Source organism: Homo sapiens, chromosome 7 (assembly GCF_000001405.40).
Source record: "Homo sapiens chromosome 7, GRCh38.p14 Primary Assembly".
NCBI classification, from domain to species: Eukaryota; Metazoa; Chordata; class Mammalia; order Primates; family Hominidae; genus Homo; species Homo sapiens.
In genome coordinates this window covers 111,413,671-111,429,353 of record NC_000007.14, presented here as the reverse complement: position 1 = coordinate 111,429,353, position 15,683 = coordinate 111,413,671, and the positions used below count along the sequence as shown (strand labels likewise).

The following is a 15,683-nucleotide window of genomic DNA, read 5'->3' as shown; positions in this document are numbered from 1 at the left end:
GACTGGCAAAGTAGAGTTTTTGAAAAGAGTAGGTTAATTGTTTCTGGAGATTAGAAGAAGGGGCCTTTTTTTGTGTTGATGCCTATAGGCATGCTTACCCCCTTCCCCAGGCCCCACATGTGTGTACCTATATCAACATGCATTTCCCTACATGCAGTTCCCAGAGATTCATGAAGCTGCTCTTGAAGCTCATGGGCAACACCTAGATTAATATACAAGTGTTACTTAATGAAAGAAGAAAAAAGGATTGCATGTTCTTTTATTTGATAGAAAGCACCATATTCATCCATTCATATGTCCTGAGCACCTATTCATCCAACTACTTATGTATCTGTCCATCCACCCACCTCCCATCCACCTAGCCATCTAGCCTTCATTCGCGTTTTATCTGATACTTTCTATTTGTCAAAACTCTGTGTATTTTATTTTTACACTTTTAAAATTGAATACTATACTGCTTTGTAAGTACTTATGGAGCTTTGTAAGTACTTATGGAAAATGAAAGAATGATTCACGGCAACTATGGAGATGTTCTAGTAGAGAGTATGTACATATTTGTTTGTGGTTGTATAATAATATAGTTTGAAGCATTAATAGGTTTGGAAAGGTGGTATAGATAGTCATTTCAGCTTTGCTTATCTTAGACTGATTTTATATTTCAGAAAGTCTTTTTGTGACCTTTTTGTACTGCTCTAGTTTTAAAATAAACTGCATTGTCAGTAAAGCAGAGTTAGATTTCTTTCGTGAAAGTAAAATTGATAGACACTTGAACATTTCTTTAGAAAGTTACTGTATCAAAGAAAATTTTAAAAGGTTTTTAAAAGATTTTACCCATTTTACTGAAAAAAGTTTCTCTTCTTTTGAATTGATTCTTAATTTATTTCACATATGAAGCATCTTGTAAAGGTTTTATTTAGGGCAGTAAGGAACCATTTTAGTATTTTTAATCATTCAATTTTTATATAGAATTTTTTTCCAGTCCTTATTACTTTAAAAAATTACAATTGAAACCCCCTATTTCTCTTGACATTTTTGGTATTCATTTTTCTACTGCTTTAGTCTTTATCATCTATATGTGAAACAGAAAATATATTTTTTAGACAAAGAAGACAGAGTGACTTATTTGGAAAATAAGATTCTAATTACTCTATCATTTTCTGTAAGGGTGAAATACAATATAAGGGAACAATAAAGAAAATCACTCTCCTAGAATATTGCAAATTCTAAAAAAAGGAACATAAAGATTCAAATGCACTCAATCTGCTGACAGGACTGAGCCAATGAGGTGTACAGCATGAGTGTGTTGCTACACAGACTACACTTGTACCAGGAGCGTATCATGAAAGATGAAAAATTGAAAGTGGGTACTAATAGCACTCAGATTTTAAAATGAATATCATTAGTATTCCAGCAAAATTATATTCATAGCTATATCTTAAGTCCAATGTGTTTCATGGGAAGAAAATGTCAGTGATATGAACTTACCTAATAGAACTGAGCCTGAGGCTCTGTATTTGCTCTTAATGACATTAAAGATGTAACTATTTTAAAATTTTTTGATATGTGGGGCTAGATTTATAATTTAATACTGTCGTAAATATTAAGAGTGCTTAATTTTTTGGCATAATGGAAACATAGCATGGAGATTAATATCTGATCCATAGTCAAGATCCTTTTCCAAGGTTGTTCCCAGATTCACACTGTTCTGGCACTCTGAATAGAAACAGTCTTCTGTTTAAGGTTTATTGAGTTGGATCACTTAATTGCATCTCAAAGTTATAGCTTCGAATTCTCACTTCTTTCTATTTCAATATGGTAATGTAGTTTTCTGTTAAATAGTGACAGTCATTATTATTTGTACTAACAAATGAAATCAGGTTTTCTATTTATTTTTTGTTCTAGAAGTCTCTTTTCTCTTGGATCTCTGAATGTTCTTCATTTTCTTTTATAATGCACTGTCCAGTCCTAAGAAGTGCCCTAATATTAATCCTGCCTTTCTTAACTGATTTTTTCAGTCATTAGAACAAAGCATTTCATTTGGCTTAGGGATCATTTGATAGTACCTACAGAAAATAATTTGAAACAAATTACAAAGTATCTTGAGTCTGAACTTCTGGCCCAACTCAGTCGCTGGGAATTTTTTTAGAGGATTATTTGAGGTGAAGGTCCACTGATATTTCTATCCTCAGCCACTAACAGATAAATGATAAAAGAATTCTAAGGTCTTCGCTAGCGAACTCCGTAAAGAGTACCAGTCTTGGGTGATCAGTGAAGTAAGGAGTTTGGATCTGAAAGGGAGCAAATGAAAAATTATCATGACATTAAAGTGATCAGTAATGCAATGAGACTATGAGTTAGGACTTTGTAACTATACTCATAAAATAAGATGAATTCTGGCTCACCTCAGTTCCTGGCTCAAATTTAAAAGCATGGTTGTACAATTGCCTGAATAGGTATATGGGTAAATATTTTTTATTGTTAATTACTACTATTTATTAAACACCAAACACTGACTTTCATTATTTAAAAAAATCTCATATAACCTTCACGTTAAGCATGTGAGATAGACAGTGATATCCACATCTTGCAGATCATAAAGAAATAATATTGCAGTAAACTCACATATGCCAGAATTTTGGTTAGGTTGCTTAGAAAGGCAAACTACTCATCAAAGGAAATGTGACCAGCCACATGCCTTAAAAAGGACAACATAACATATTTAAAGTCTCTAAATAGATTGTAGACAATTTACACAGTACTTTGATATTTGTCCTTTGTCAGTTTTTTGGGGGCAGAGTTGCTGTGTGAAAGATTTGCATTTTTATTTGCATCCTGGTCTAGGGAAACCTTTCTAATCCCTGAGTATGCACTCTTGGGATTTCAAGACTTTAGAGAATTGTTTCCCAAAGTGAGTTCCAGGGAAAACATGTTATTGCAAAAAACCTCTCAGTGGTAATACCATCAAATGTGAACGAACATACCTTTAATTATTATAAATGAAATACATGTTGCTGTGATTTAGTGGTGAATAAGCAAAACCTAAATTATACTGGTGATTGAAAAGATTGCAGAATCTTCTAAAATCAGTATGTAAGATACAAAAAGGAGGGATTAATGTACATATATTTATTTTAAATTATTTTGACATATTTGAGAAGCAACTACCAGAAATATATAATTTACCTTTTTTAGCTGTAAAACAAAGTTTATGTATTATAAGGTTACCTACATGATAGTCCATACCCTGGGATGAACTTTCTGCTCCCTGTACCCAATCTGGCAAAATTTTACTCACCCTTCATGGTCCCGAAAATGCCCTCCCTGTCGTGTTTTTATAGCAGTTAATGTATATCACGTTGTATTACAATTCAGTTCTCTTTTTCTGTAGCATTTAGAAGAGACATCTGCTTCTTAGAGGTCTTTGACATGTATTTGTGGAATAAATGAAGGAGTAGATGAATAAATTATATGTTTGATTAATTTAGCAAGATTTTTATCGAGTCTTAATTATTTGGACCAGTTTTTCTGACTACTAAGAAATGATCTAAGAATGATCCAGCAGGTGGGTAACTAAGATTATGGTTCAAAATGTTTGGGAACACTTGCTGATTCCTCTTTCTTTACTGAGTGAATTTGAAAATTAAAAGGATTTTGGAGAAATGACTTTTTAAATTTGAAAATGTATTTTATTATGGAAATTTTCAAACATACAGAGAAGTCAAAAGACAATTACAGTGAACACCAGTATACTCACCACTCATATCTTATCACTTTTCTGTTATCTTATCTATCTATATTTTAATCCCTCTATTCATCCATCAGTCCATCTTATTTATTTATAATGCATTTCAAAGTAAACTATAGGCACTTCCCCCTAAATACTTTCAACATGCGTATTGTTAACTAGAGTTCAAGAATAGTTTACAGTTTTTTTTTCTTTTGAGGTAAAATTTAAATACAATAGTGTATATAAATCTTAAGTGAACATTTGCTAGTTTTAACATATGCCTATGTTGTGTAACCCTAATCTCTATCAAGATACAGAACATTAACATCATCCCAGAAAGTCCTCTCATGGTCCTTCTCAGTCACCTTCTGCTCCCACACCTCACAGGGAACCACATTTCTCACTTTTCCCCCTTTACTATAGATTAGTTTTGCCAAAACATGTTGTGTTTAAGGAATCGAAGTATGTAAGTGTTTATGTGAAAAACAGAAAGGGGAAGCAATCCCTAAATAAACATTTACATCTATTACATTTACATTTCAGTTGAAACTAACAAATGAAATGACAGCTGGAAAACTACAGAGGGCAATTGATGAAGGAAACTTAAAATGACTTCATGTAATGACTAATGACCTGGATTTAGAGGAATGTCAGAAGTACACATGGCTAGCATTCCATTATGCCATATAATTGCTATAATGGCAGCAGACTGTGTAAACCTGAAAGTCACTTGTCAAAGAATTTTGCCTGGTAGTCAACAAATGTGATACAATTCTGTGACCCAAATAACCACATATTTTACAAAAGTTGCAAAGTCAAAATATGGTGATTGTTTCAAATGTTTTGGTTTTGTGGTAGAATTGCTTAATATTTGGCTTTTAGAATGATTTATTATAAAATGTTGAAAATATAGTTTTAATTAATGTACAATGAAGAGAAATATTTTGGAATGTATGAAATTACTCTGTTAAGAGTCTTCATATTTAAGATATAGTTTTAAGTAGCATGGCTATACATCATGCATAGATGATTATACAGATGTAATGAATCCCAGCTGTTATTCAGGTACCTTGTGATATATGTGTCACCTAATATATTTAAATGCTGAGCTTTTGTCAGTAGAGAAAAAAGTCACGAGTAATATCTAAAAATTAGCATGGCTTAGTCTGGGACACTGGCCCTCGCAGTCTGTTAATTACTTGTAGTCTCTAGCCTCTCTCTTTTATTCATACCACAGCCAAACACTGAGTATTAACGGATGGGTTTTAAGAATCTACCGAAACCACCCATCTATCTTCCTTCTCTCCCTCATTCTCTTCTTCCTTCTCTCCTTCCTTCCTGGCTACTTAAACAGATATTTGTTGTGCACTTGCGTTGTAACAGTGTTAAACGGTGGAGATACTGTGATGAGTAGAAAGTACCTTACCGTAAATCAGGTTCTACAGATGCTGTTTGCATTCGTAAACATTAACCTCTAACGAATCAGAATTCACTTAAAAAATCATACATCCTAGAATTTGTGAATGGATTTTGTGAAGAACAGGGCATGTTGGTATACGTGATAAGATTGATTATTCAAAGTTGATCAGATGTCTATACTGTTCATTTAATTACGTTATCTCTACAGCTGAAACAACTACACTTGCTTTACCATTGACCATCTGCAATAATTATCATGCTCAGTGTAGCCATTAGTATAGTTAACTATCTTTTTACTTAAAAAAGTTTCACTGTCAATTTTGTTGATGTTTTCAAAAAACCAGTTCCTGGATTCATTGATTTTTTTGAAGGATTTTTTGTGTCTTTCACTTCTGCACTGATCTTAGTTATTTCTTGCCTTCTGCTGGCTTTTGAATTTGTTTGCTTTTGCTTCTCTAGTTCTTTTAATTGTGATGTTAGAGTGTCGATTTTAGATCTTTCCTGCTTTCTCTTGTGGGCATTTAGTGCTATAAATTTCCCTCTACACACTGCTTTAAATGTGTCCCAAAGATACACCTCTAGCAAGTTTAATAAAGAAGAAAAGAGAGAAGAATCAAATAGACACAATAAAAAATGATAAAGGGGGTATAACCACCTATCCCACAGAAATACAAACTACCATCAGAGAATACTATAAACACCTTTACGCAAATAAACTAGAAAATCTAGAAGAAGTGGATAAATTCCTGGAAACATACAGCCTCCCAAGACTAAACCAGGAAGAAGTTGAATCTCTAAATAGACCAATAACAGGCTCTGAAATTGAGGCAATAATTAATAGGCTACCAAACAAAAAAAGTCCAGGACCAGATGGATTCACAGCCGAATTCTACCAGAGGTACAAAGATTAGCTGGTACCATTCCTTCTGAAACTATTCCATTCAATAGAAAAAGAGGGAATCCTCCTTAACTCATTTTATGAGGCCAGCATCATCCTGATACCAAAGCCTGGCAGAGACACAACAAAAAAGAATTTTAGACCAATATCCCTGATGAAAATCGATGCAGAAATCCTCAATAAAATACTGGCAAACCAAATCCAGCAGCACATCAAGAAGCTTATCCACCATGATCAAGTGGGCTTCATCCCTGGGATGCAAGGCTGGTTCAATATATGCAAATCAATAAACGTAATCCATCACTTAAACAGAACCAATGACAAAAACCACATGATTATCTCAATAGATGCAGAAAAGGCCTTTGACAAAATTCAACACCCCTTCATGCTAAAAACTTTCAATAAACTAGGTATTGATGAAACATATCTCAAAATTAAAAGAGCTATCTATGACAAACCCACAGCCAATATCACACTGAATGGGCAAAAACTGGAAGCATTCCCTTTGAAAACCGACACAAGACAAGGATGCCCTCTCTCACCACTCCTATTCAACGTAGTGTTGGAAGTTCTGGCCAGGGCAATCAGGCAAGAGAAAGAAATAAAGGGTATTCAGTTAGGAAAAGAGGAAGTCAAATTTTTCCTGTTTGCAGATGACATGATTGTATTTGTAGAAAAGACTATCGTCTCAACCCAAAATCTCCTTAAGCTGATAAGCAACTTCAGCAAAGTCTCAGGATGCAAAACCAATGTGCAAAAATCACAAGCATTTCTATACCCCATTAACAAACAGAGAGCCAAATCATGAATGATCTCCCATTCACAATTGCTACAAAGAGAGTAAAATACCTAGGAATCCAACTTCCAAGGGATGTGGTGACCTCTTCAAGGAGAACTACAAACCACTGCTCAATGAAATAGAAGAGGACAGAAACAAGTGGAAGAATATCCCTTGCTCATGGATAGGAAGAATCAATATCATGAAAATGGCCATACTGCCCAAAGTAATTTATTGATTCAATGCCATCCCCATCAAGCTACCAATGACTTTCTTTACAGAATTGGAAAAGGTACCTTAAAGTTCTATGGAACCAAAAAAGAGCCCTCATTGCCAAGACACTCCTAAGCCAAAAGAACAAAGCTGGAGGCATCATGCTACCTGATTTCAAACTAGACTACAATGCTACAGTAACCAAAACAGCATGGTACTGGTACCAAAACAGAGATATAGACCAATGGAACAGAACAGAGGGCTCAGAAATAACACCACACATCTACAGCCATCTGTTCTTTGACAAACGTGACAAAAACAACAAGAAATGGGGAAAGGATTCTCTGTTTAATAAATGGTGCTGGGAAAACTGGCTAGCTGTATGTAGAAAGCTGAAACTGGATCCCTTCCTAACCCCTTATACAAAAATTAATTCAAGATGGATTAAAGACTTCTATGCTAGACCTAAAACCATAAAAACCCTAGAAGGAAACCTAGGCAATACCATTCAGGACATAGGCATGGACAAGGACTTCATGACTAAAACACCATAAGCAATGGCAACAAAAGCCAAAATAGACAAATGGGATCTAATTAAACTAAAGAGCTTCTGCATGGCAAAAGAAACTACCATCAGAGTGAACAGGCAATCTACAGAATGGGAGAAAATTTTTGCAATCTACCCGTCTGACAAAGGGCTAATATCCAGAATCTACAAAGTACTCAAACCAATTTACAAGAAAAAAACAGGCCGGGCGCGGTGGCTCACGCTTGTAATCCCAGCACTTTGGGAGGCCGAGGCGGGTGGATCAAGGTCAGGAGATCGAGACCATCCTGGCTAACACGGTGAAACCCCGTCTCTACTAAAAATACAAAAAAAAATTAGCCGGGCATGATGGCGGGCGCCTGTAGTCCCAGCTACTCGGGAGGCTGAGGCAGGAGAATGGCGTGAACCCGGGAGGCGGAGCTTGCAGTGAGCCGAGATTGCGCCACTGCACTCCCACCTGGGCCACAGAGCGAGACTCCGTCTCAAAAAAAAAAAAAAAAAAAAGAAAAAAACAAACAACCCCATCAAAAAGTGGGCAAAGGATATAAACAGACACTTCTCAAAAGAAGACATCTATGCAGCCAACAGACACATGAAAAAATGGTCATCATCACTGGTCATCAGAGAAATGCAAATCAAAACCACAATGAGATAACCATCTCATGCCAGTTAGAATGGCAATCATTAAAAACTCAGGGAACAACAGATGCTGGAGAGGATGTGGAGAAATAGGAATGCTTTTACACTGTTGGTGGGACTGTAAATTAGTTCTGCCATTGTGGAAGACAGTGTGGTGATTCCTCAAGGATCTAGAACTAGAATTACCATTTGACCCAGCGGTCCCATTACTGGGTATATACCCAAAGGATTATAAATCATGCTACTATAAAGGCACATGCACACGTATGTTTATTGCAGCACTATTCACAATAGCAAAGACTTGGAACCAACCCAAATGTCCATCATTGATAGACTGGATTAAGAAAATGTGGCACTTATACACCATGGAATACTATGTAGTCATAAAAAAGGATGATTTCATGTTATTGGCAGGGATGTGGCTGAAGCTGGAAACCATCATTCTCAGTAAATTATCACAAGGACAGAAAACCAGACACCGCATGTTCTCACTCATAGGTGGGAATTGAACAATGAGATCGCCTGGACACAGGGCGGGGAACATCACACACGGGGGACTATCGGGGGGTGGGGGGCTGGGGGAGGGATAGCGTTAGGAGAAATACCTAATGTAAAAGATGAGTTGATGGATGCAGCAAACCAAGATGGCACATGCATAGTTATGTATCAAACCTGCAAACATTGTGCACATGTACCCTAGAACTTGAAGTTTAAAAAAAAGAAAGTTTCACCTGTACCTTTATTGTACAGATAGTTTTTTTATTTGTTTCAAAACAACTGTCCTTGGTCAGAGAAGTTCGGAATTTCTTTTGTGATCTCTCAATTTGTGTGGTAGTAAAGTGCTCACAGAGTCACAACTTAGAAAACTTGATTTCTTTTCTCCATTTTATTGTGAGTTTGAATGACCAACTTAAGTATTTAATTTCTATTATTTATAATGAAGCACTTTTCAATTCAGGCTGAATCTCAGAAAAAATGAATATAAAAATGTAAATATAATTAGAACAATTGAAACATTTTTATTGTGATAGAATATATATAACATGTAATGTACCATTTTAACCATCTTTAAGTGTACAGTTCAATGACATTAAATACATTCTTATTGTGGTGCAGGTGCAGCCATCCTCACTATCCATTTCCAGAATGTTTTCATAGTCTCAAACTGAAGCCGTGTATCCATTAAGCAATAACTATGTAACACTTCTCCACTACTTCCAGTGTCTGGAAACCACCTTATCATTTTCTTTTTCTATGAATAGGACAATATTTTTTGAGTAAGGGCAGTAAATTATCATTTTGTTCTGTGAACCCTGAAAATCTGAGACAGGTCTCAGTTAATTTAGAAAGTTTATTTTGCCAAGGCTGAGGACACGTGCCTGTGACAAGGTCTCCGGTGGTCCTGACGATATGTGCCCATGGTGGTCAGAACACAGTTTGGTTTCATGCATTTTAGGGAGACATGAGACATAATAAACATATGTAAGATAAACATTGGTTCTGTCCAGAAAGGCAGGACAACTCAAAGCAGGGAGGGGACTTCCAGGTCATAGGTAGATAAGAGACAAATGATTGCCTTCTTTTGAGTTTCTGATTAGCCTCTCCAAAGGAGGCAATCAGATACACATTTATTTCAGTGAGCAGAGGAGTGACTTTGAATAGCACGGGAGACAGGTTTGTCCTAAGCAGTTCCCAGATCGACTTTTCCCTTTAGCTTAGTGATTTTGGGGCCCATTTCCTTTCACAGCTCCAAATCCTCTTAGGTAAGAAATTTTTTCTTCCTTTTAAAAAAAATCTTTAGTAAAAGTGTAACAGTCAGGGCCTAATCAGAGAAACAGAGCTACAGGAATATATGTATTCCAAGTCTAAATTCAGTTCTTTAATGTATTTAATAAAACTTCCCATTTTTAATTAATAATTCAAAATTTTTTAGTCTTGTCTGCCAATATATTCTTCATATATTGGAATAACATTATTCTACAGCTGTAGGAGGCAGCAGCAAGTAAGGCAATTATATAAATGCAATTTATTTAAAGCTTTAACCATTTATGTGAAGCTAGGCATTTGATTTGATTTCCACCTATGGCAGTGGCTTTCAGAAATTTGATTTGTAATTTATTTGATGTAATTTCAGGCTGAGAATATCTTCGCAACACAATATTGAAAAAATAGTTTATTGAAGGATGGCTTAATGAAATATAAAGAGTATGAAATAAACTGTAAATCAAAGAAAACTTAGGGACTATTTGCATAAGTGGCATTTAGCTATTGGGCATTTTTATATTTGTATGTGTACAAATATAATTTTCATAGTACAAAAAGGTGGTTTTACAAATGTTTGTTTTAGGAGCAATCTCTTCAATATAATTAGATAACAGAAATTTTTGTGTATTTTTTATTTTCTTAAATTAATTGGTATTGTCAGGCTAGCATTTGATTTGATCAATATATTGTTTACTCAAAGAAAAGCCTTAGTGGTTTAAATAACCATGACTGTAAATGTATTAAGAACTTCACTGGCAGTAGCACTGCAAAGCTCAAAGGCACTCAGTGTAACCTAATTACTAGGAATGACATTTGTATTAGTGCTAGTGAGGTGTGAGCTTTTTGTACCGAAGGCTGAAAAGATATCAGATTAGGTCCAGAGTGAGCAGAAGGGACGTATTTCAAATTTACCCTTTTAAATCCTAGAATTCAGTGACAATGATGTGACTGGGTTATTGATATTGCAGTACATCTAGGATGAAGAAAGGAATACATAGAGATTACTAATTAGTGAATATATATTTTAATCAAGACATAATTTTCTAGCATCAGGGTCAGATCAAGGTTTTATTGGGGACCTGAAAGGAGGCAGACCATTTGGAGGCAGCCCTCCTAAAAAAAATACAAAATTACAGATGCAAATTTATATACAAGTCAATATGTATTTAGAATGAGAAAAGAAATCACAACTGATTACAATTTCGTAAAAGATGGTCAGTGACATTATCATAATAATATTTGGAAAAATAGCTGCTGATCACACTTTTAAACTACCTTTTCCACATCTATAGGATACATAATGTTTGAGCCCCTCTCAGATGACAATGACTTTATAATATAATTTTTTATAGATTTAGAAAGATAAATTGGACTTTCCTGTACTATGGTTAGGAAGATTTTGTTTTTATTATTGATAATTGAGCTGTATAAACTGTGCAGCTTCACTCACAGACATAGTATTTATAGAACAGCTGCAGATTTGGGCTTTGCAAACGCAGTGTCTGAAAAGTTCTATTTCATTGTGAGTCCCATCAAAAAGAAAAAAGAAATGTCTGCTACATTTATAATTGTATATGCACTATCAACTCTATTCCTAATAAGAGAAAACTTGACTAGGCATTGATTACAAATGGAATTATCTGCTTATTCTATTTCATGTCTCCTTATTGGAAGAATTTTCCACAGAGTAGCTTCTGGCTGTATAAATTTCAGTCTCTGCTTCTCTCCCATTTGCCACAAATCTTTAGTTCTCGTTGCCATGGGACACATTCGTGACAGAGGTTACACATTGAGGGGTCTTCATAGACCTCTGACTACGAACCTTCATATCAGGACCCCATGTGAGTTAGCACAGTTGGGAAAGGGATGTATTCCTAGAAGCCATTCCTATACTGGAACAGATGGTAAACTAATTACACATAGAAATGACCAAGAACCACTTACATATATCCCACTAAAAACAATGTGCTACCAATTCTGAATGTATCACCCAAACTGAATATATCACCCTTTGCATGATCCCCAGGTTGCTCACTGTGACGCCCTCCACCCGACAACAGGAGATTGGTGGAGAAGAAGAGGAAGTGGAGAAAGATATTTCATTGGCAAAGTATCTTACTTTTACAAATTTTACTAAAATATATAATCATGGACACATTGCTAGGGTACCTGCAGGGACATTTTCAAATGAGGAGGCCTGAAGCTTAAGCTTTATGATGAGTTTTATGGTAAACTCAACTCTGTCAAATAAGTACTGTTTCTTCAATGATAGAAATCTTCTATATCTGTGCTACCTAATATGGTAGTTTGTTGAATACTTGAGATGTGGTGAGTGCAACTAAGAAAGTGAATCTTTAATTTTATGTACTTTAAATTATTTTCAGTTTAAATAGATACATGTAGTTTATGGTTACTGTATTGGATAGTATATATCTAATTTATTAATATATTTATGTAAAATTAAGGCTCATTTAATTATATTAAAGGTATTATGTATCATACCATATTCTGCTTAACTTTGGATGTTGTTTAGGGATTAAACTCTCAATTGTGGTCTAATTTTATACTACATATGATTCATGTATTGCCTACTGAGCAAGTAAGCAATTTTCTTAATTATGGACAAATATTATGCTGGCAGACCTGTGCATATTAAACTGAAAAAATACTTTTAAAGTGCTTCTTCTGGTTGGGATTTTAAAAATATGATTATTAGAACCAATCATATTAAAAAACCTTATATGATGGGCTAAAATATGTGTTTTCAAAGCAGGGGTTAAAACTTTTTACATGAAGTACTTTTATTTTTCTCTTAGGAAATTTAATAAGGCATCTCCAAAGACAGAGGGAAAGTGGATTATTTGGTTGACATGCTTAATATTTTATGTTGCTGCTTAGTTTGCTAATTCTAGTGGTTCAAACCAGATTTCAAAATCTGGGCTAAATCTCTGTCATGCTATGACATGGCATTTGACAGTAATTCCTGAATATTTAATTGATAGAAAAACAGAAAGCATGCATATTGTTTAGTACAATTGTGTGAACTGCTATGACATATCATTACATACAGTTTTCTGAAAGACTGCATATTTTATTCATTGTATGCCTAGCACGGGGAAGAAATTTTTAATGCAGTGAACAGGTGACCTTTCAAGCATCGTATATAAAGTTTCAATATGTACTTTAATGGGATAGCTGATGATTTTCTGTTTATGTGCTGTTGATTTTATTTGCGTAGTTGGGTGTTGACAAAAACTGGGAATAGATGTTCTCCGTAGATCTACATGTAATAATTATAATTAATATTTAGAATGCTCAGATTAACTTTTTAAAACTGAGATGAAGTTCACATAATATTATGAACCATTTTAAAGTGTACAATTAAGGAAAATTATGCAAATCTCTTTTCAGAAATTTAGGACTCATGATATGTTTTATTTGCAGGTTTCAAAATTTTTTTTCTGTTTTTTTGTTGTTGTTGTTGTTTAAAACCTGTATATGTTTAAAAATTAAAAACATTTAATTATCACTTGGTAGCAATTTGTAAAATCCTAAGTAGAATTTTAAGTTGTTATGTGAAATTTCTTTGAAATTGAGAATTTTATTCCTAAATTACTTCCTGATAGATTTGTTGTTGCATTTTATTCTCAGGTGTGTAATTTTTTTCTATAGGCTGTGGTTGTGTCATATATACTAGTTATAATTTGGCTTTTCAAAATATCAAATGCCAACTATATGCAAAATAAGTAAATTTTTATGACTATGAAATTCACTTCAATTGTCAAAATGTACAAAATTCCAAAATGTCTTCTTTTAGCCTATTTTGTTGACGTTGGTGATTTGTCAACCTGAAGGTAACAGACTGTATTAGTTTTCTATTGCTGTTTAATAAGCCACAAACTTAGTGGCTTGTAAAAATATAAATTAATTATCTCAGACTTTTTGTAGGGCAAAAGTCTGGGCATAGCTGAATTTTGTGCTCAAGTTCTTATATACTAAAGTCAAGGTCTCCCCTGGGCTATAATCTCATCTGGGATCTCATAGGATCCTTTTTCATGTTCATGTGGTTGTTGGCATAATCCAGTTTTTGGGGATTGTGTGACTGAAGTCCACATTTTCTTGCTAGCTCTTGTCTGGAGACTGCTCTCGGTCTCTAGAGGTCCCCTCCTGTAAGTCCTTGCTACATGGCTCCTATACAGGCCCCCTTCTTTAAGACCAACAGGAAAAGCTCTCTCAAGCTTTGAGGCTTATCCTTCAAGGAGGACCCACTCCCTTTTAAGGACTCCCAGAATCATCTCTGTTTTGACAAACTCGAAGACAACTGCTTTGGGACTTTAATTACGTTAATACAATCTTTTCATGCTTGTCATATAATGTAACATCATACTGGGAGTGAAAACTATCATACTTAAAGCCCTACCCACCCCCAAGGGGAAGGGAATCTTCAGAGTGTGTGCACCAGTGGGCAGGAATCTGGGATGCCACCTTAGAATTCTGCCCACTACAGGAAGCTATGGGAAAATTTGAAAATGTGTTTTTTTAAAAATTAATAGACTGTATTTTTTAGTGCAGTTTTATATTTTTGTAGAGAGCTCTCATATAATCCCTTTTTCCCTGTACACAGTTTCACCTATTATGATAGTCTTACATTAATGTACATTTGTTAAAACTGATGAACCAATATTGATACAATATTATTAACTAAAGTCTATACATTAGGGTTCATTCTTTGTGTTGTACAGCTCTATGGATTTTGACAAATGCATGTCATGCTTCCATCATTGTGATATCATACAGAATAGTTTCACTTCCCTAAAAATCCCATGCTCCTACCTATTCATCTCTATCTTCCTCCTGCCCATTACTCCTACTACTGTTCTTTTTACTGTTTATACAATTTTGTCTTTTTTAGAATGTCATTTAATTGGGATCATACAATATGTAGCTTTTTCATACTGGCTTCTTTCAGCAGTATGCTGGCTAAGACTCTTTCATGTCTTTCCATGGCTTTATAGGTTATGATTTTTTAAATCACTCACTAATATTTGATTACATGGATGCACCCTAGTTTGTTGATTCAGGAAGCTACCCTCTGGGTCTTTTTGAGACTTGCTGGGAAATTGCCTGCAGAGGTGACATTGAAATTCACTCGGAATCTTCCTGCAGGGGAACAGGAGGAAGGGGCTTCTCTTTCTGGTTCTAGTGTACTTTATTCTCTTCTTGCTTCTGTGGTATGTGGTGGAAGTGAGCCAGCCCCTGAGGAGGGGGTCAAGTTCACTGCAAAGATTCTCATGGGGGTGTTTTTGAAACTTTCCGGGAAACTGCTGGTTGGAACATCTTGCGACTTGCCAGGAAACCACTTGGGATGCTAGTGGAACTGGCTGGGAAGTTGCTTATGGAGGTGCTGCTGCAACTTGCTGGGATGTGAGTATCACTGGGTATCTTTGTGATGCTGATTGCCATAAGAAAAACAGGAGAACAAAGCATATCGGAAGCAGAAAGAGAAGCTCCTTCATCTTGCATTGTTCTCTCCAGCACCCTCTGCTAACAAAATTTAGTGTTACAGCAGCTGGCAAAGAAAAGATACAGGGTCTAGCTCCCACATCACAAAGCAGGACAGGGAAGGGTAAATTTGGAGCTGACAGGCAAGAGGTTGATAACTGGCACACTTTCTGTTTCAACTTTGCTGAGATTTTTT

At 35.2% G+C, this 15,683-nt stretch overlaps 1 protein-coding gene across 26 annotated transcripts in view; it reads left to right on the top strand.

The window, feature by feature from the left end:
• IMMP2L (inner mitochondrial membrane peptidase subunit 2) overlaps positions 1 to 15,683 on the top strand; it is an 899,849-nt gene that overhangs the window by 133,139 nt on the left and 751,027 nt on the right. For 7 of the 26 annotated variants that reach the window (NM_001350961.2, XM_047420925.1, XM_011516609.3 and 4 more), the window contains one exon: positions 12,012 to 12,095. The exons of 17 other annotated variants lie outside the window; for them this stretch is intronic. In NM_001350961.2, the coding sequence (NP_001337890.1) occupies positions 12,012 to 12,095 (84 nt within the window). Of the gene's footprint in view, positions 1 to 12,011; positions 15,410 to 15,683 lie in introns of those variants that run through there. 2 more of the 26 variants (XR_007060162.1, XM_047420928.1) reach the window with 2 other exon arrangements.